The sequence below is a fragment of the Homo sapiens genome, chromosome 1 (genome assembly GCF_000001405.40).
Source record: "Homo sapiens chromosome 1, GRCh38.p14 Primary Assembly".
Taxonomy (NCBI): domain Eukaryota; kingdom Metazoa; phylum Chordata; class Mammalia; order Primates; family Hominidae; genus Homo; species Homo sapiens.
Genome location: NC_000001.11, coordinates 19,167,385 through 19,186,998, shown reverse-complemented (window position 1 = coordinate 19,186,998; position 19,614 = coordinate 19,167,385). Strand labels below are relative to the sequence as shown.

General features: G+C 40.8%; 1 protein-coding gene across 50 annotated transcripts in view; it reads left to right on the top strand.

The window, feature by feature from the left end:
- UBR4 (ubiquitin protein ligase E3 component n-recognin 4) overlaps window positions 1-19,614 on the top strand; it is a 135,757-nt gene that overhangs the window by 23,268 nt on the left and 92,875 nt on the right. For all 50 annotated transcript variants that reach the window (XM_047416518.1, XM_047416514.1, XM_047416523.1 and 47 more), the window contains exons 14-28: window positions 342-459; window positions 1,713-1,900; window positions 2,824-2,983; window positions 3,103-3,188; window positions 7,779-7,948; window positions 9,256-9,538; window positions 10,272-10,407; window positions 11,966-12,045; window positions 12,552-12,680; window positions 13,378-13,560; window positions 13,693-13,818; window positions 13,906-14,135; window positions 16,116-16,237; window positions 17,467-17,564; window positions 18,815-18,972. In XM_047416518.1, the coding sequence (XP_047272474.1) occupies window positions 342-459; window positions 1,713-1,900; window positions 2,824-2,983; window positions 3,103-3,188; window positions 7,779-7,948; window positions 9,256-9,538; window positions 10,272-10,407; window positions 11,966-12,045; window positions 12,552-12,680; window positions 13,378-13,560; window positions 13,693-13,818; window positions 13,906-14,135; window positions 16,116-16,237; window positions 17,467-17,564; window positions 18,815-18,972 (2,267 nt within the window). The remainder of the gene's footprint in view (window positions 1-341; window positions 460-1,712; window positions 1,901-2,823; window positions 2,984-3,102; window positions 3,189-7,778; window positions 7,949-9,255; window positions 9,539-10,271; window positions 10,408-11,965; window positions 12,046-12,551; window positions 12,681-13,377; window positions 13,561-13,692; window positions 13,819-13,905; window positions 14,136-16,115; window positions 16,238-17,466; window positions 17,565-18,814; window positions 18,973-19,614) is intronic.

Below are 19,614 nucleotides of genomic sequence, written 5' to 3'. Positions count from 1 at the left end.
AGTGAAAAATTCTTAGCGGGTTGAATCTATCCAAACATTTGAATCAGTTATTAATTATCAGTTTTGTGATACACGTGGCTACTTGGTGATTTGTGATGATTGGCATACTGAAGCAGAAGCATAGAGGACACTATGGAAACACTCCTGTTTTCAATTCTTGTCCACGTCTCTGGTTGGTAGTGTTTTTGTAGGGTAAAGTGATGAAAGTCCTTAATTAAGGGAGCTATTAAGAGGCATACTCTTGGATTTAGGAAAAAATAAAAGAGATTATGGAGAAAGTTTTCATGCGATGCATGAGATTAAATAGGATGGCTCCGGTTTTGTAATTGTCATTTTCCTAGGCATGTGTCCTGCAGCGGCAGAGGAAGGGCTCCATGAGCAGCGATGCCAGCGCCTCCACCGACTCCAATACTTACTATGAGGACGATTTCAGTAGCACGGAGGAGGACAGCAGCCAAGGTAGAGGCCGCTCTTTTCTCTCTCCCAGAGATAAGCTATAGAGTGCAACAGGAGTGTTCTCAGCAGATTCCTGTAGTTTCCTGACCAAACAAAAGTTTCCATTTTGTTTTCACCTGCTTAGCCTGGACCTTGGTTTTATGTGCATTCAAAGATGACATGTTATTTAAGAGCAAGTTGAGCTGTTGATGAATGAATGATGGAAACAACTTTCAGCCAAGCCTGGGTTACTTTTCATTCCTTTCCCTCCAAAATCAGAAAACATCTCAATTGTTCCATATTTCTTCCTGTGTTGACTCATTTTGTGACCTCTGCTCTAAGCTTTCTCAGTGAAACTCAAAAGGTCACATGTGAGGTGTTCGGTTTGGATGTTATCATAGTCATAGTTTAGGGAAGCTTGAGTAGAGAAACCTAATCCTGTTGTAGTGAACCCACTGGCATGCCCTCCTGCCTTAGTTTGATGAGAGAATGAATAAGGTAAGTACCTCAGATTCTTTCATAATCAGGTTTGTGGGAACAATGTGAAATACGAAGGGAGGTGTGATTCTTACCGTCCTGTGATTTATGGTTGATAAGGCAAGTATAAATTCGCTCTTGAAAATATTTGGCTTGTTACCAGTAAAATAATGTGAAGTTGTTTTTCTTTCTTTGTTGGGCTCCTTAAAGAAAAATTGGCTGGGCGCGGTGGCTCACACCTGTAATCCCAGCACTTTGGGAGGCTGAGGTGGGCAGATCACAAGGTCAGGAGTTCGAGACCAGCCTGGCCAATATGGTGAAACCCCATCTCTACTAAAAATCAAAAATTAGCCAGGCACATGCCTGTAGCCTGTAGTCCCAGCTACTCGGGAGACTGAGGCAGGAGAATCGCTTGAACCTGGGAGGTGGAGGTTGCGGCGAGCCAATATTGCACCACTGCACTCCAGCCTGGGTGACAGAGCGAGACTCCCTCTCAAAAAAAAAAAAAAAAAAGAAAAAAGAAATCAGTTTTATTGGGGTATAATTTACATGCAATAATGTGAGAAATTCTTAACGGGTTGAATCTATCCAAACATTTGAATCAGTTATTGATGATCAGTTTTGCTCTTATTTTATGTATGCATTTAGATGAGTTTTGATACACAAATGCAATCTTGTAACCATCATCACAATTGGGATATCCTTGTATTCCTTTTGACTTAAGTACTTTTAGGAAGCAGATGCACCAAAAACACTTTTAAAAAATATTTATTTTCGTTACTTTATCTTTCTCTATTCAGACGATGACAGTGAGCCTATTTTGGGGCAATGGTTTGAGGAGACTATTTCTCCCAGTAAAGAGAAAGCAGCACCTCCGCCTCCTCCCCCACCTCCTCCACTGGAAAGCTCTCCTCGGGTTAAAAGCCCCAGTAAGCAGGCCCCTGGTGAGAAGGGCAACATTCTGGCGAGTCGCAAAGATCCTGAGTTGGTAAGAGTAGGTTTCTAAGGTTTAGGGGAAGTGGACATGGGGAGCTAGGGGTATGAGAAGCAGATAATTTGAATGCAAACATTTTGTGGCTTGGATAACTGTAATGTTTAAAGATATTTTTGCTTAGGACTTATATGTCTTGATTATGTGTCATTAAATAACTTACGTGACTGTTACTGTTTCTCTGCTGGCCTTTAGAATCACTTAATGGCTTTGTGACTTTGGGCAAGAATCTGAATTTTTTCTAGCCTTAGTTTTGTCTCCTATCATATGGGAGTGATTGTACCTGCATCTAAAGGTGTTGTGACATCTTAAAGAGAGACTATTTATAAAGTGCTTAGCATAGGTCTGATATATCATCAGTGCTTGCTGTGGTTGAACTGTTGGTTCAACTAGTATTATCTAGTAAGTGTCAGTCCCCGTTCTGATGATGTGAGTGAGTCAGATACAGTTCTTGCCTTCATATATATAGCTTACAGTCAAGGATGTGGACAAAAAACATTTATACAATAATTCAATTTAATTTTAATAGAGAAGAGCTAGGAATTCTATATATGTGTAATAATCATTCATATAGGCTTCAGGATTGAATATATCAGTAGTGAATTGGAGCCGGACAAAGGACCTTAGGAGAACAAAAGAAATGGGTCAGTCTATTTGGAAATCCTGTTTTCATACACTGTTTTGTAACATCTGTTATATTAAACTGGAATGCCATTTTGTGTAAGTAGAATTAGGTGGGAAAGAGAGACTCATAATGAAACTTAGGCCCACTGTAAGTGATTTAAAATCTGATTCTTTCATTCATTGTGTTTATTGCAGGATACCTATGAGCATATTTTATTTTCTATTTGTAATCAGAGTTTATAGGAACGCTGGGCTTATGACCCTGATAAGAGCTTTTTTGTGTGTGTTCCTTTCAGTTCTTAGGTCTGGCTTCCAACATTTTGAACTTCATCACCTCTTCCATGCTGAACTCTCGGAACAATTTTATCCGAAACTATCTGAGTGTATCTCTTTCAGAACACCATATGGCCACCCTAGCCAGTATCATCAAGGAGGTGGACAAAGATGGACTCAAGGGTCAGTAGACAAGATATGTGCCTGATGGATTTTTTTTCTCATGGAGTTTGGCTGTTGGCAGGGAGGTGTGGTGCATTCAATAGCTGCTTAAATAATTGGCTTTTCTACTTGTCTTTAAGGTTCATCAGATGAAGAGTTTGCTGCAGCTCTCTATCACTTCAACCACTCACTGGTAACCTCTGACCTTCAGTCACCTAACCTGCAGGTTTGTGTGTGCTGTGACCATCTAGGCAAGAGCTCATGACACCAGCTTCCATAGGCTGCAGCTCCAATTGTTTGTTTGTTTGTTTTTTTGAGATGGAGTCTTGCTCTGTTACCCAGGCTGGAGTGCAGTGACACGGTCTTGGCTCACTGCAACCTCCACCTCCCAGGTTCAAGCGATTCTCCTGCCTCAGCCTCCAGAGTAGCTGGGATTACAGGTGTGTGCCACCATGGCTGGCTAATTTTTGTATTTTTAGTAGAGACAGGGTTTCACCTTGTTGGCCAGGCTGGTCTCAAACTCCTGACCTCAGGTGATCCGCCCGCCTCAGCCTCCCAAAGTGCTGGGATTATAGGCGTGAGCCACCGCGCCCGGCCTGTAGCTCCAATTGTTAAGGAACAGTTTGTCATTAAATCCCCTCCCTGGAAAGAGCGTTGAGAGGTGATTCTAATATGTCCCTGTGCCTTATATTTAGGATCATTTCCAGAAAAAAAAATATGTCTTTTATCTTAAGTCAGTAAGCTTAAAGAAAAGGAAAACCCACAAAAACAAACAGAAACTCCTGATGATTATGCTAGCAGAAAAGTGGACAAATACACAAGCAGGCAGTTTATATGAAAAGAAGTATAAGTGGTCAATAAACATAGGAAAAGTATTCAACATCCTTAGTAATTGAAGAAAGACAAATTAAAATGTGTGTTTTAAAAGAATCAATCAAATTATAGGAGATAGATGCTCTCATATACACTTGTACTTGCAAACTCACCACCAAAACAAAATCTAGGACGTTGACTGTGAACTTCCAATCTTATGGTTCTCTCTCCCCTCTGAAATAGCTGATGTCTTGAATCCTAAATCTCAAGTTCCTCATGTCCTTAGTCATATATGTATATGTATGTGTATGTACATATATAATCTATATTCCTTAAATTTAAAAAAAGTTTTAATAATTGCTTGTAGTTTTATAGCAAATGACATCATGCTGTATGTAATGTTTTCAAGCTCTCTCTTTTTTCATGTAGTATGATATAGTACTGTATTGCCAAGATTCATCTATATTGTTATATATTTCTATAGTTCTTGTTTGGACTACTGTATGATATTCCATTATGTTTGTGACTCAAAACCACAATGAGATACCACTTCGCTTACACGCATTAGGTGGCTGTTATTAAATGGAAAGTAAGTGTTGGTGAGGATGTGGAGAAAGTGGAATTCTTGATGCATTGCTGGTGGGAATGTAGAATGATACAGTAGCTGTGGAAAACAGTATGTCAATTCTGCAAAAATTACATATAGAATTACTATATGGTGGCACGTGCCTGTAGTCTCAGCTACTCGGGAGGCGAGGCAAGAGGATCACTTGAGCTCAGGAGTTTGAGGCTGTAGTATGCTATGATTGCGCCTGCAAATAGCCACTGTACTTTAGCCTGGGCAACATAGCAAGATCCCCATCTGCCAAAAAAAAAAAATAGAATTACTATATGATCCAGCAATTCTACTTATATACCCCAGAAGAAATGAAAGCCGGGGCTTGAACAGGTGTTTATCCACCCATGTTCATAGCAGTATTATTCACAGTAGCCAGAAGATGGAAGCAACCCTGGTGTCCATTGACATTTGAATGGATAAACAAAACATCCAGCCATACAATGAATGTTATACAGCCTTCAGAAGGAAGGAAATTGTGACACATGCTACAACATGGATAAACCGTAAAGACATGATACTAAATTAGTCAGTCACAGAAGCACAAATACAACCTTGTATGGTTCCACTTCTGAGGTACTTAGGTAGTCAAATTCATAGAGACAGAAAGTAGAATGGTGGTCGCGTGGGGCAGGGAGATGGGAAAATGGGGACTTGGTGTTTAGTGGGTACAGTGTTTCAGTTTGGAGAGATGAAAAAGTTCTGGACGTGGATGGTAGTAAGGGTTGCAGAATAATGTGTATGTGCTTAATGCCACAGAACTGTTCATGTAAAAATGGTTGAAATGGTAAATTTTATGTTGTGATACTTTACCACATAAGAAAAGTAAAACAAAAATAGTGCTTGGTACCTAGTACTAGTACCTTCTAAATGTTAGCTCTCTTAATAATTGTATTATTGTTTAATATTATTATTGCAGTCTCTTGGTTCATTTGTTCAATACATATTCATTGAGCACCTACTATGTGCCAGGTACTATTATAGACACTGAGGAAATAAAGATAACTTGAGTTAGTGTGGGATCATGAAAAAGGAGGGAGATAGGCATAGGACATTTTGCAGAGATCATGGGCCATTATTTGAATGGGGTGAAGAGCATGGAGAGGAAGGAGTCTTGGATATTGCCTGAGTTTAAAACTCAAATGAAACTAGAAGGATGCTATTGTCATTAATAGAGACAGGAAAGTCAGGAAGGGGAGTTGGTTTGGGGGTAAGAGAGATTGGGTTTTGTTTTGTTTTTTTTTAGAGGTGGGGATGTTACTGTATCTCCCAGGCTGGTCTTGAACTCTGGGCTCAAGCAGTACTCTTGCCCTCAGCCTTTTGGGACTATGTGTGTGTGCCATCATGCCCGGCTGGTCCGTCCTTCTTTCCTTCCTTCCTTCCATCCGTCCGTCTTCCTGATGGGGTCTCGCTATGTCGCCCAGGCTGCTCGAACTCCTGGCCCAAGTGATCTTACCACCTCAGTCTCCCGTATAGCTGGGACTGTAGGTGTGAGCCACTGTGCTCGGCCTAAGGTTTCAGTTTAACTATGATGAAGTTTTGGGGTGCCAGTGTCTAGAAAATAGTTTGGAATGTGAGTCTGAAATTGAGGAATTAAATTGGGGCAATTTTTGAAGTAATGAGAAACAGTGAGACTAGCAAGATAGCTGAAGGCTGAGGCTGAACCCTTAGAAATGCCAGTATGAAAGAGGAGTGGAGGAAGGGAGGACTCAGCCAGAGTTCTGCTGCTAGATGGACTGTGGTGCAGTTTGACTTCTTAGAGAGTCAGTTACCTTACTTAGAGCTGAGAAGGAAGGATAGGGGTGGAAGGGAAAGACCAGGTTCCTATGGAATGTTAACTCATTTTTGTGGCTCTGAGGACTGAAAAACTGACACAAAGATGAAAAATGAGCAAAAAAAAGCATTAAAAATAGCATTATAAGGAATATATGTTACTTATCCATATATATGGCTAGGTACGCCCCTTGATTTGAACATTTAGATTTTTTTTCCTGATTTTTCCATTATTAGAATTGTGCTACAGTTAGTATTTTTCATGTAGCTCAGGTAGGTTTTTTTTTTTTTTTGAATTGTTTCATTTAACTTAGGAATTAAGAAGTTGTTTATGACTTTGTTGAGCATGGTGGTTAAGAATGTGGTTTTAGAGGCTGGGCGCCGTGGCACTTGGGAGGTGGGTAGATCACCTGAGGCCAGAAGTTCGAGACCAGCCTGGCCAACATTGTGAAACCCCGTCTCTACTAAAAATAAAAAAATTAGCCAGGCATGGTGGCACACGCTTGTAATCCCAGCTACTCGGGAGGCTGAGGCACAAGAATTGCTTGAATCCGGGAGGTGGAGGTTGCAGTGAGCTGAGATCGTGCAACCGCACTCCTGCCTGGGTGATGGAGTGAGACTCTATCTCAAAAAAAAAATAAATAAATAAAGAACATGGTTTTAGAGATAAACCTGGCTTTACCACTTAGAGACCTTCACCATCCCTTATCAGTGACATGGAGCACATAATACTTCCTGTCTCTGCCTGGCACATCCGGTGTGACAACAAAGTATGCTCTGCATTTAGCTCAACCTATGGTAACTGTGTAGTCCACGGAAACTGCTCTTGAGGCCAGCGACATTTTGCGAAACATTCATTTCCAGGGAAGAGTCCTTGAGGATGTAGTATAAAAATATAATTTAATTTGGCAGACTTAGAAATTTATCCTACATCCCACAGTAACCATGCTTTGTGTCTTCTGAAGCCAAGTGAGAAAGCAGGCATTTGTCTGGTTTTCCATTGGCATCCTGCTCAGTGTGTGTGTGTGTGTTTGAGAAGATAATTTGCAGCTTAGTTACTGGGCTGAAAATGAAGCTCACTTGAAAGACATGCTCCACCTGGAGGTGAAGAACAGCCTTGTTGAGTTCTGGGTGCCTTGAGATCTCATAGGCAGAATTTCTCTGCGAATACTGCGGATCTCTAAATTGTTGGATCTTCCCCTTTTGGGTGTTATTTGTATTATGTAACTGATTATTAAAGAAAAACTATTAGCTATTACAGTTGTTCAAGAAGTTTGCTTTCAAAGGCAACAACTTCTCATGTTTTGTCCATTTACAAAATTATCCTGATTCTGGTATCTCAATGCTTTTCTCTTTTTTCAGGAGCCCATATCTGACACTCATTAACTATAAATGTTAATGAGGTTAGATCAGTAAGTTTTCACTTATGTTTTTCTCATTTGTTGACCTAAATGATCTTTATCCAAACTATTCCAAAATCTGAATTTCTGGGTCCTTCTTTCTTTAAAATATTCTGTTCAATATTAAACAAACAAACGTTTGAGAACATGAGTAACCTTTTGACTTTATCCCGTATCTGTTTGCTAATGTTCTGTTCCATGTCTTTCTTGTCAGAACACACTGTTGCAGCAGCTAGGAGTGGCTCCTTTTTCTGAGGGCCCTTGGCCCTTGTACATTCACCCTCAAAGCCTCTCTGTGCTTTCACGCCTCCTGCTCATCTGGCAACATAAAGCCAGTGCTCAAGGTGACCCTGACGTCCCAGAATGCCTTAAAGTTTGGGACAGGTAAGATGTCTGTAAGAGAAGGCCTATAGAGAAAGTTATTTCCTTTTTTATTTGTTTGACTTCTTTGTAGTTAATCTGTGGCTTTGAGGCTTTGCTGTAATGATAATGTTTAGAGTGGGGAGGGTAGAAGAGGGATGGACTTGGAGATGTGCTGTTAAAAAACAAGTATGTCAACTTTGGTCTGGAAATAAATCTCCCTGTAGCACATGGGGGATTTGGTTATAATTATGCGATGGAACCACAATCTTGAACAGAACCAATTTTATCCTGACCTGCTTTTTTGAAAGACAAGCAGGGAAGCCAGCTCTGTCCTTGGTTATTTTGCTTTCAACATGAAACCACTTAGGGGCACTTGCAGTGTTTTTTGGAGAAATTTTAAAGAATTTTTTTCCTTGGGGGAAGCTCAGATTAATCATCTAAATCCACTTTAGATGGACCTGTATTTGCCATTTTTGTTTACATGGTTAGAAGTCTTCAAAGCAGTTTGTTTTCCTAAAAGGCTTTGCTTTCTGTTCCCCATTGTAGGATCAAATAGCTCTAATGCTGGATTTGAGAAAGCATAAACCTTCTTGAGTGCCAAAGACCCGCTATATTTTTCCTGGTGGAATCTTGCAAAAAGGCTGAGAGGGTCGAGGGGTGCAATGAGGGAAACCCTTGTTAAACACACAAATCTCTTTCCTAATATTAAAACACAAATCTCTTTCCAAATAGCCAAAGGCAATGGAAACAGTTGGCTACATTCATTCCTTTTTTGCATTAAAGCTCTTCTGACAAATTCTCTGAATAGTATATTTTCTTTTTTATTGCTTTATAGTCTATCGAGTTATTTTTGACTATTATCATGCAGTGATTTTTAACCTGTAGTATAAACTCTCAAAACTAGAATTAAATGATAGAATCAAAATATGGGGAAAAGTAATTGAACTGGTTCACCTGTCCAAGTTTGTTAATCAGAAAGGAACAATAGCAACATTTTTGTGGGGGAGCTTGTAGTACTTTTCATGGCCACAAATGACAGGGTGGGCATTAACACGCCTGTGTTAAGGCTTGCCTCAAGCAATCCTCCCCTCGACCTCCCAAAGTGTTAGGATTATAGACTGAGCCACTGTGCCTGGCTGGCCAAGTCTGACTTTTTTTAGCCAAAATTTAGTTTCTGTCTTGTCTTTACCATGTAGCCTTTTTTTCTTCCTTAATTTGTTATCTTACTGCCTGGGTTTAGGAAATTTAACTCTTCTAGTGCTTGACATTATAACTCCTGGGGAATGCTCTTTTTCCCACCAGATATAGTCATCTTTTCTCTCTGGTAGGTTTTTGTCTACAATGAAGCAGAATGCCCTGCAAGGTGTGGTGCCCAGTGAGACAGAGGATCTGAATGTAGAACACCTGCAGATGCTCCTCCTCATTTTCCACAATTTCACCGAGACAGGCCGGCGGGCCATATTGTCGCTTTTTGTCCAGATCATCCAGGAGTTGAGCGTCAACATGGATGCTCAGATGCGCTTCGTGCCGCTTATCTTGGCTCGCCTCCTTCTCATCTTTGATTATCTGCTTCATCAGTACTCCAAAGCCCCTGTGTATCTATTTGAGCAGGTACAGACCAACACGTTCTTTTTTGCTTCACCATTACTGAGAACTTTATTCTTCTCAATGGTTACCATGATCCGCAGCCCAAATGACCTACCCACTTTAGGTTTTAGGTTTTGGTAGGTTGATGGGTAGGATTAGGAGGACCACTGAGACTTTGTACTTGATGTTTAGCCAGAAGTGATACATGTAGATTACTTGATTTGATGCATTTTTTGAAAGTGGAATGTAGGCTGTGTTCAAAGGCATTCTCCCACGAATTGCCCTGCTCTACCTGTGTCTGATGCAGTGCCCTGAGCATCGGCCCTTGATGAGTATTTGTTAGTGGTTGAATGACAGTCAAGTAGTAAATTTTATGGATTGGTAAATTCCTTTGTTGTAAGGATCCAAAATAAGGATAGGAGGATCCGTTCAGACTTAACTGTGTTCAGCATTTCTTAAAATGTTTCATTGAGCACTATACCCTTTATGTTGCACCAAAAATTGCATTCCAAAAGTAGTCACAGAAAAATCTTTAAATTTTTATTTTGGTTTGTGAGTTTCCCAGGCTTTGGTATACCAAGCTATTATCGTACCTGAGTGAAAAGCTGAATGGTGCCCAATAAAACAGAATATTTGAATGTAGAACACCCACATTCAGATTACCAAGATTCAGTGTACCGAGCTATTATCATGCCTGAGTGAAAAGCTGAATGGTGACTGTGTATCTTTCTTAATTTCAGTATTTGTGTTTTAAAAGGTACAGCATAACCTGCTAAGTCCTCCCTTTGGGTGGGCAAGTGGATCCCAGGACAGCAACAGCCGCCGGGCAACCACTCCTCTCTATCATGGATTCAAAGAAGTAGAAGAAAACTGGTCTAAGCATTTCTCATCAGGTCAGAAAGAAGACTGTTAATAAGAAACTGACTTACTGATTCTCATTGGTGGGGTTGAATTTGAAGCTTGGGGACTCTTGGAGGATCTTTGGTCATTTGCTTTAGTGTAATCCCTATGGGTGGCAAATCACCTATGGATTAAAACATTTCAGAAATGGACTCCCACATAGCCTACATTTATATTTTTTAAAAAATTGAAGCTGGGCACTGTGGCTCATGCCTGTAATCCCAGCACTTTGGGAGGCAGAGGCGGGCAGATCATTTGAGGTCAGGAGTTCGAGACCAGCCTGGCCAACATGGTGAAACCCCATCTCTACTGAAAAAATACAAACAACATTTAGCCAGGCTTGGTGGTGCCTACCTGTAATCCCAGCTACTCTGGTGGCTGAGGCAGGAGAATCACTTGCACCAGGAAGCAGAGGTTGCAGTGAGCTAAGATTGCACCACTGCACTCCAGCCTGGGCAGCAGAACAAGACTCTATTTCAAGGAAAAAAAAAAAATTGAGGCTGAGCATGGTGGCTCATGCCTGTAATCCCAGCACTTTGGGAGGGCAAAGTGGGAAGATCGCTTGAACCCAGGAATTTGAGATCAGCCTGAGTAGATCCCGTCTACCAAAAATTATTTTAATAAGTAGCCGGGCATGGTGGCACGTGCCTGTGGTGCCAGCTACTCGAGAGGCTAAGGTGGGAGGATCGTTTGAGCTTGGGAGGTTGAGGTTGCAGTGAGCTGTGATCACGCCACTGTACTCCAGCCTGGTTGACAGAGTGAGACCCCTGTCTCAAAAAAAACATAAAAACTAAAAAATAAATTGAGACACAAGAAATCAGAATCCTCGTGTCTGGCCATAGGGTACAGTATATGGATTCTTGCCACTCTGTGTCATTAATTTTCCTTATTTTCCCTTAGAGTTGTGGTTCTAATGTATAGCTAAATTTCCTTTTGGGTCTTGGTGATATGCTGGTCTGAAACGAATGTGAACATGAGATTATCTCTAGTGTTTTTCTCATATAGCAATTGTCTGTTCTTTGGATGAAGTGTTTGTTGTGTTCATTTTTAGTGTGTGTTTGCACTTACCCTGAGGATTATTAGATGTTAAGTGTGTTTTGTGGAAACTTTTGTGAAGCCTTAGTGTGAGTTTACTGTTATCTTTTACTATTTGATGTTAGGGAAACAGCATGTAAGTTTAATGTGTGCAGACTAATGATATAATTTGTTGATTGATTTGATTCTAGGGCACCCTACTTAACTCTTAGAGCAATGGTTCTCAATGGGTGATTTTGCCCTCTCCCCTCCAGGACATTTGGCAATGTCTAGATATTTTTGGTTGTCACAACTGGGGGTGCTACTGGCATTCAGGGGGTAGAGGCCAGGGCTGCTGTTAAGTCACCTAGAGTGCATAAGATGGCCTCCCACAGCAAACACTTATCTGGCTCCAGATGTCAATATTGTTAAGGTTGGGAAACCTTATTATAAAGTATTTTCTGAGTTTTACATTGCATACTAGTCAGATAGAGTTAAGAATGGAACCATTCTTTTAATCAGCATATTACTTTTCAGATGCTGTCCCACACCCCAGATTCTACTGTGTCCTGTCCCCAGAAGCCTCAGAGGATGATTTGAACCGACTTGATTCTGTGGTACTAGGAATTTTAAAACTGCATTTTATATGTGGGTCAGATGGTTTCCACCAGAATCAGCCTACTGGGGGGAAAGGGAATGACTGACTTTTTATAGTGAGGAAATGTGGTCTGTGTTACGATTTGAGCTTATTCTAATAGGAAAATGTTACTTGGATATTTATTTGTTGGGTGCACTTTTGCTGTGGGGTTTGTCCTTTCTGGATTGGCACCTCTGACACTTGATTTTTGAAGACAGTCTTTGTTAGCATTTTTCACATGCAAGTATTTTAATGGACAAAAATAATTGTCTTACTCCCTTATTCTAAAGCCAGCAGCTGTGTGCTCACAATAGCTTGCAAACAGTGTGAGTAATGTCCCAGAATGGGAATCTGTTCCAAGGAGAAATTAATGATTATGATTTGATGGGATATTTTGTCAATCATGAGGATAAGTGATAGTGTATAGGCAGTAGGAAAAAATACTTTAAAAGTAAGGAAATGACTCTCTTTCTTTCTTGATGTCAGGCATGTGACGTCCTTTTCTCCAAGCTTGTCAAGTATGATGAGCTTTATGCTGCACTGACAGCCCTGCTTGCAGCTGGGTCCCAGCTTGATACAGTTAGGAGAAAGGAAAACAAGAATGTAACAGCCTTGGTAAGACCATGGAACCCTGAGAAGTCTTTGGGTTGTGTTTGATCATTGATCATTTCTATCAGAAATTTCCTTCTGAAATGTAACCAGTTTATTGAATATTGATTTGCAAAACTGACTGATACTTGAGTATTTCTAGGTAGTTTGTGTAGCTATGTTCACCTTAAAGATAATTTAATCAGCTGTTGCATTTTTTTGGTTACCATTGAGAGAACTGTAATTTAAGAGTTAGTGGTCCCCCCCCAAGTGCTATATCTCCTGTCAATACTGGTTGATGTGTGATATTGAAAGCCTCACGCTTGAGATTTTTCCATGGCTCTGTTAATGTGTCTCTATATTCTAGAAGCAATTCCAGGCCACAAAAACGGATAGCTGATTGCAGGTCTGCTAAGCAGAATGTCCTGCCCTCTTTTGGTTAATTGGTAAATTATTGGGGAGCCAAAGTTGTCTTGGAATAGCCTTTTTGGTCTGTGAAATGTGCAGAATACGGAACAAATTATTTGTATGTGTGTTCTGCCATTTTCTGCTAGGTGCACTCTCTAGAAAGATCTGGAGAATGGACTTGGGGGCCAAATCTCAATTTAAAATCAGGACTCTATACAGTTCTGGTTTAAAAGTTGTATTTGGAGTAGTTCGTACTGTGAGGGAGATCTTGAGGCCATACCAAGTGCTACCTCTATGCTGCTTTTCCTTTCTCCAGGAGGCCTGTGCCCTTCAATATTACTTCTTGATACTGTGGAGGATCCTAGGAATTTTACCACCATCAAAGACTTACATTAACCAGCTATCCATGAACTCACCTGAGATGAGCGAATGTGACATCTTGCACACTCTGCGATGGTCTTCTCGGCTCCGGATCAGCTCCTATGTCAACTGGATAAAGGTAACACAGAGCTTGCTGCTAAGACTATTCAAAGCCAAAGTGCTTTGTGCTTACTGGAGCTTTTAAATTTGAAGATAATGAAAGCTTTGCCTATAGTCATCTCCTAAACACTTTTTCTTGCTGTCCAAATAGGATCACCTTATCAAACAGGGAATGAAGGCTGAGCATGCTAGCTCGCTTCTAGAACTGGCATCCACCACTAAGTGTAGCTCAGTGAAATATGATGTTGAAATAGTAGAGGAATACTTCGCTCGACAGGTATGTAATATTGGAACCTAAATGATAGAACTTGGTTTCTACCATAGCCCATTGCCACAGCTAATTATATTTTGCATATTTTTAAAGATCTCATCCTTCTGTAGTATCGACTGTACCACCATCTTGCAGCTGCATGAAATTCCCAGTCTGCAGTCCATCTACACCCTTGATGCCGCGATCTCAAAGGTCCAGGTCTCTTTGGATGAGCATTTTTCTAAGATGGCTGCTGAGACTGATCCTCATAAGTCGTCTGAGATTACCAAGAACCTACTTCCAGCCACGCTGCAACTCATTGACACCTATGCATCGTTCACCAGGTGTGGCGAACTGCCTGCCCAGAGATGCACATGCACTCTTCACTCCGTGCAGATCCCGCATTGACTCAGAATTTGACATTTTTCTCTTTCTTCAGCTTAGGGGTTTTTTTCCCCACGTATAATGCTTTCTTCTCTAGTATGAAGGGGTGCTTGATGAGGAAATTTTCAAATAGTGCAGGAGGAGTCAGGAGGAAGTTTAATGTCTATAATTCTTTAAATATTTTGTACGATTTTACTCGTAGGATACAGAGAAAGGTAATTTTTCAAAACACTGTCATTTCTGTTATTAACTGAGTTAAAGCTCCTTAAATGCTCTTTATTTATTATTATTAAAAAAATTTTTTTCTGAGATGGCATCTCGCTCTGTCGCCCAGGCTGGAGTGCAATGGTGCGATCTTGGCTCACTGCAACCTCCACCCCCTGGGTTCAAGTGATTCTCCTGCCTCAGCCTCCTGAGTAGCTGGGATTACAGGCATGCACCACCGTGCCTGGCTAATTTTTGTGTTTTTAGTAGAGACGGGGTTTCGCCATGTTGGCCAGGCTGGTCTTGAATTCCTAACCTCAGGTGATCTACCCACCTCAGCCTCCCAAAGTGCTGGGATTACAGGCATGAGCCACTGTGCCTGGCCCTTAAATGCTCTTTACATGTGATGATATGTAGTTGGAGAAAAAAAAAAATCTCTAAATGAGTTAGAAATTATTTGAAATTCAACTCTTTCTATAACAAACACTGCAAATTGCATGCCCTGTAGACTTTGGTCTGTATGATGTTTAAATATTTAAAGTTAATTTCAGTATATAAAATTGGGAGATTATTCACAAGTTTAGATTTCTGGCTTTTCTTAAATTGGAAGAACTGGCAAAACTGGGCCTGACTTCCCAAACAACAGTAACAGACTGGAGCTGAGAATTAGTTCCCTTTGCAGCAGTTTTCACCGGGCTCTCTTAAGCTTATTGACTTTATCTGGTCCCTGTAGGATCTCAGTGTTCACTCCTGTTCTATGGTGCTTTTTTGTTTTGAGATGGAATCTCACTGTGTCACCCAGGCCGGAGTGCAGTGGTGCGATCTCATCTCACTGTAACCTCCACCTCCTGGGTTCAAGTGATTCTCCTCAGTTTCCCGAGTGGCAGGGATGACAGGTGCATACCACCATGCCTGGCTAATTTTTGTATTTTTGTATTTTCAGTAGAAATGGGGTTTCTCCATGTTGGCCAGGCTGGTCTTGAACTCCCGACCTCAGGTGATCCACCTGCCTCAGCCTCCCAAAGTGCTGGGATTACAGGTGTGAGCCACCGTGCCCAGCTCTGTGGGCTTTATGCTGCTTTAAAGGGACCTAGATCTTTGTCAGACTTAACTAACCTTGTCTCTTAGTATGACTGCCTTGCAGAAGATAGAGGGCTGTTGTTTGAGGCAAATTTTTTTTTTGGCTCAAATTTGTTTGAGCCAAACAAATATGTATGGCTGCTACGTGCCAGGTACTTTTCTAGGTGCTAGGGTTATGGCAGTAGCCAAAGCAGACCAAGTCATTGCCCTCTGGGAATTTACAGACTCTAATCTGGCCTAATAGGCCAGTACTTTCCACACTGAGCTGTTAACGTTCCTGGTCAAGTAAGTTTGCAAAATGTTGGATAAACAGTTTTTTTTGTTTTGTTTTGTTTTAAAAAATATAGTATTCAGAGCCTTTACTGTATACATTGTCAATCTTCTGAGGTGGGGAAGGAGGATAGATATAGTATTCACTGTTTCTCAGGCTTACTTGTCAGGCAGTCATGTTTTGGGAGCATTTCAGAGGAGGGGACATTCTTTGGGAAATGATTACCCATTGGAATTCTTAGAGACCAGGAAGGGGCAGGCACTATCAACTACATTAAATAGATAGGAAACTGAGATATAGGGTTTTCAGCCAGTCTAGGGCCAGTTTTTCCTAACTGGTGGGATTAGAATCTTATGGCTTCACTTTCCCCCTGTTTTTTCCCCAGAGCCTATTTGCTGCAAAACTTTAATGAAGAGGGAACAACTGAGAAACCTTCCAAGGAGAAACTGCAAGGCTTTGCTGCTGTTTTGGCTATTGGCTCTAGCAGGTGCAAGGCAAATACTCTGGGTAAGAGAACAAATGTGCTTTTGAGTAATATTATTACAACAGCTACTACTGCTAGTACTATGGCTTCTCTCCCTTGGTGCCTACTGGCGTTTACTATTTATTGGAGCCTTTTTGTGTATCAAGCATTTAGGTAGGTTTGTCTATTTTGATCTTCACAATAACCCAAGAAGTGTTACTTTGATCCCCTTTTTACTCATTATAAATTAGGCCTAGAGAAGTTATTTGTCCACAATCCTGCATCTTGCAAGAGATAGAGCTGGGATCCAAACCAGGATCTGTTGGTTCCAAAGCATAAGGCTATTTTGTCTTTAGCACAGATCTTTGCTCTCCTCCCCTCCCCTCCCCACTCTCTTCTCTCTTCTCTTGGCAGGGTCTTGCCCTGTCACCCAGGCTGGAGTACAGTGGCGCTATCGCAGCTCACTGCGGCCTTCATCTCCTGTGTTGAAGCAGTCCCCCTGCCGCAGCCTCCCAAGTAGCTGGGATCCCAGGCACATAATACCATACCCGTATAATTTTTAAATTTTTTTGTAGAGATGAGGTCTTCCTATGTTGCCCAGGCTGGTGTTCTTTTCATTTATAGGGGACAGGAAGATTAGCAAGCTAGTACTTTGTGCCTGGAAAAATCTCTTTGCTGGGTTAGGAATGATCTGGTAGAAATTTAGGGTGGAAAATCAAAGGGCTTGATTGGAGTTAAGTACAGTAGTTACCGTTTAAAATTTACAATCAATCGTTTGTATTTTCCTTAATTTCAAGCTTTAAATATTCATTTAACATTCAGATAGTCTCACTTTGTACTGCTTCATTGAATGCTGTTCTTAATGTGTGTTATGATCCCTGCCCTTAAGATTCGTCTTAAAGAGAAAAGAGATCAAGAGAAAAGTGATACCTATTTATAGAAGGGGAGCAGATGTTTAATGGTGATTTCAGTCTGACTTGCAATGACTCACCCTCACTTTGCATCTTATTTTCAGTTGTCTTCTTTACTTGCAAGATTAGAAAGTGAACATGATGGGAAATGAAAACCTTACAATTGAGAGTGTTAGCTATTAAGCAATTAACTGGTTCTTGGACATAGTACTGCTATTGAAATATCTATCTAAGCTATCTTACTAATTATTTTGACAGCCTGGGCTGTACTGTTTCTTTCTGCATTTGGGCTTGGCTTTTAAAATGCTCTGTGTCGTTCCTTCTTTCTTGTGATGATTCCTTGTCCTTTCTGTCGCCTCCAGGTCCGACACTGGTTCAGAATTTGCCATCGTCAGTGCAGACTGTGTGTGAGTCCTGGAACAACATCAATACCAATGAATTTCCCAATATTGGATCCTGGGTGAGTCCCTATCTGTTCCAGGGTAGAAATACTGAGTGCTAGCCATTCTGTCTTTTGTTCTTAAGCCTAAAGGAATTAGGCTTAAACTAGCTACCAAGATATCTTCATATACTGCAGTAATATTGGCTATGGCTGAATCATTAATCAATGCATTTAATCACCTAGTTGGTTCTCATATGGCTTTTTGCTTAGAAGTTTGTGTTATCAAAAGACAAACCATTTTATTTATTTGAGCCTCAGTTTCTTCACCAATTGAATATTGGGCTGTGACGATTCAATGTATTGAATGTTAAGTGCCTAGCATATTACCTGGCACACGAATTCCCAATACGTGTTAACTCTGTTTCCTTTGTAGGTTGTATGTCAGGAACCTGCTCCTTTTGTAACAGTTTTACAGGGTCGCTTTTAGCTTCTCTAGGCTTTTAGATACTACTGAGTCTTCTTTTTTTTTTTTTTTGAGACGGAGTCTCGCTCTGTCACCCAGGATGGAGTGCAGTGTCGTGATCTCGGCTCACTGCAAGCTCCGCCTCCCGGGTTCACACCATTCTCCTGCCTCAGCCTCCCGAGTAGCTGGGACTACAGGCGCCCACCACCACGCCCAGCTAATTTTTTTGTATTTTTAGTAGAGACGGGGTTTCACTGTGTTAGCTAGGATGGTCTCGATCGCCTGACCTCCTGATCCGCCTGTCTCAGCCTCCCAAAGTGCTGGGATTACAGGCGTGAGCCACCATGCCCAGCCAATACTACTGAGTCTTCTGTCAGTTAACTTACTCTTTGTATATCCTCTGCTCACACTACCTCTATTAACAGATTATTTGCTTACTGAAGTTCTTTTCAAAAGCTAAATATTATAGTCTTGTTATCCCTGCTTTATGATCGTGACCTCTGTTTACACCACCCAGAACTTTAATAGAGACCAGATGCATTGCAAAATCCAGTTCCTTCTCAGTCATTATAGACAAACAATAGTTTTACTTTAGATATAGTGCATTATATTATACTCTAATCATTTGAAAGTGGTATTGGATATTCGTTGCATTTAACTGTTAACTTTGTACTAATTAAAATTTAACTGCTTCCTTTTCTGTACCCCACTTCCCTTCCCAGCATGAATAACAGTGTATACTGAGTAGAGGCTATTGTTTACAAACGTCAGTGGGGTCTTAGTTTATGTCAGTTTTTTTTTCCATGTGAGAATTTTTTCCAGGGTAGATGGTCTATCCATTTACATCTGCTTTGCTTCCTTTCAGCGCAATGCCTTTGCCAATGACACCATCCCTTCAGAGAGTTATATTAGTGCAGTGCAGGCTGCACACCTGGGGACTCTCTGTAGCCAAAGTCTGCCCCTGGCTGCTTCCCTGAAGCATACCCTCCTCTCACTGGTCAGGTTGACTGGAGATCTTATTGTGTAAGTACCTACTACCTAGCCCCAAGGACTCTATGTCTGTATTCTATTGTGGTTAAAGAGGGACAGTGAGAGTTTTATAACTATGTAGTAATGCTTTCTTATATACTTCTTTAGCAAAAAGAACCTGTTGCTTTAAAGTATAAGCACTTACCTAGAATGATTTTTTAACTTAGATCTGAAAGACAATAGAGTACTTCCTCCTTTGTGTAGTATTTTTCAGAAAAGACTTGCTGGCTTTAAGACATATTGCAATTTGGAGATGTCTTGGGTTTAAATTTTAAAGTGATAGTGACAGATTATTTGATAACGTTTCTCCAGAATCATAGTGGGATAAATTCCCACCATTGTAGGGACTAGGTCAGGCCAATGGAGGGACTATTGTCTTCTTATACATAGGTAACAGGTAAAGTCTTATATTGTATTGCCCTAAAAGTGATCCAGGTTCCTGGCAGTTCTTCTAGAAGGCTTGTCTGGGATGGAATACTTGCTTTGGTTTCAGTTAATTTTCTTTGTTGAATATTATAAAATGCAGCTCATTAATTTGACGTTTTAATAAATGGATTTTTCAAATGAAAATGATTTTTGTTTCTGATATAATAATGAAAAAGAAGAATATGAAATTGTATGATGATACCTGTGTAT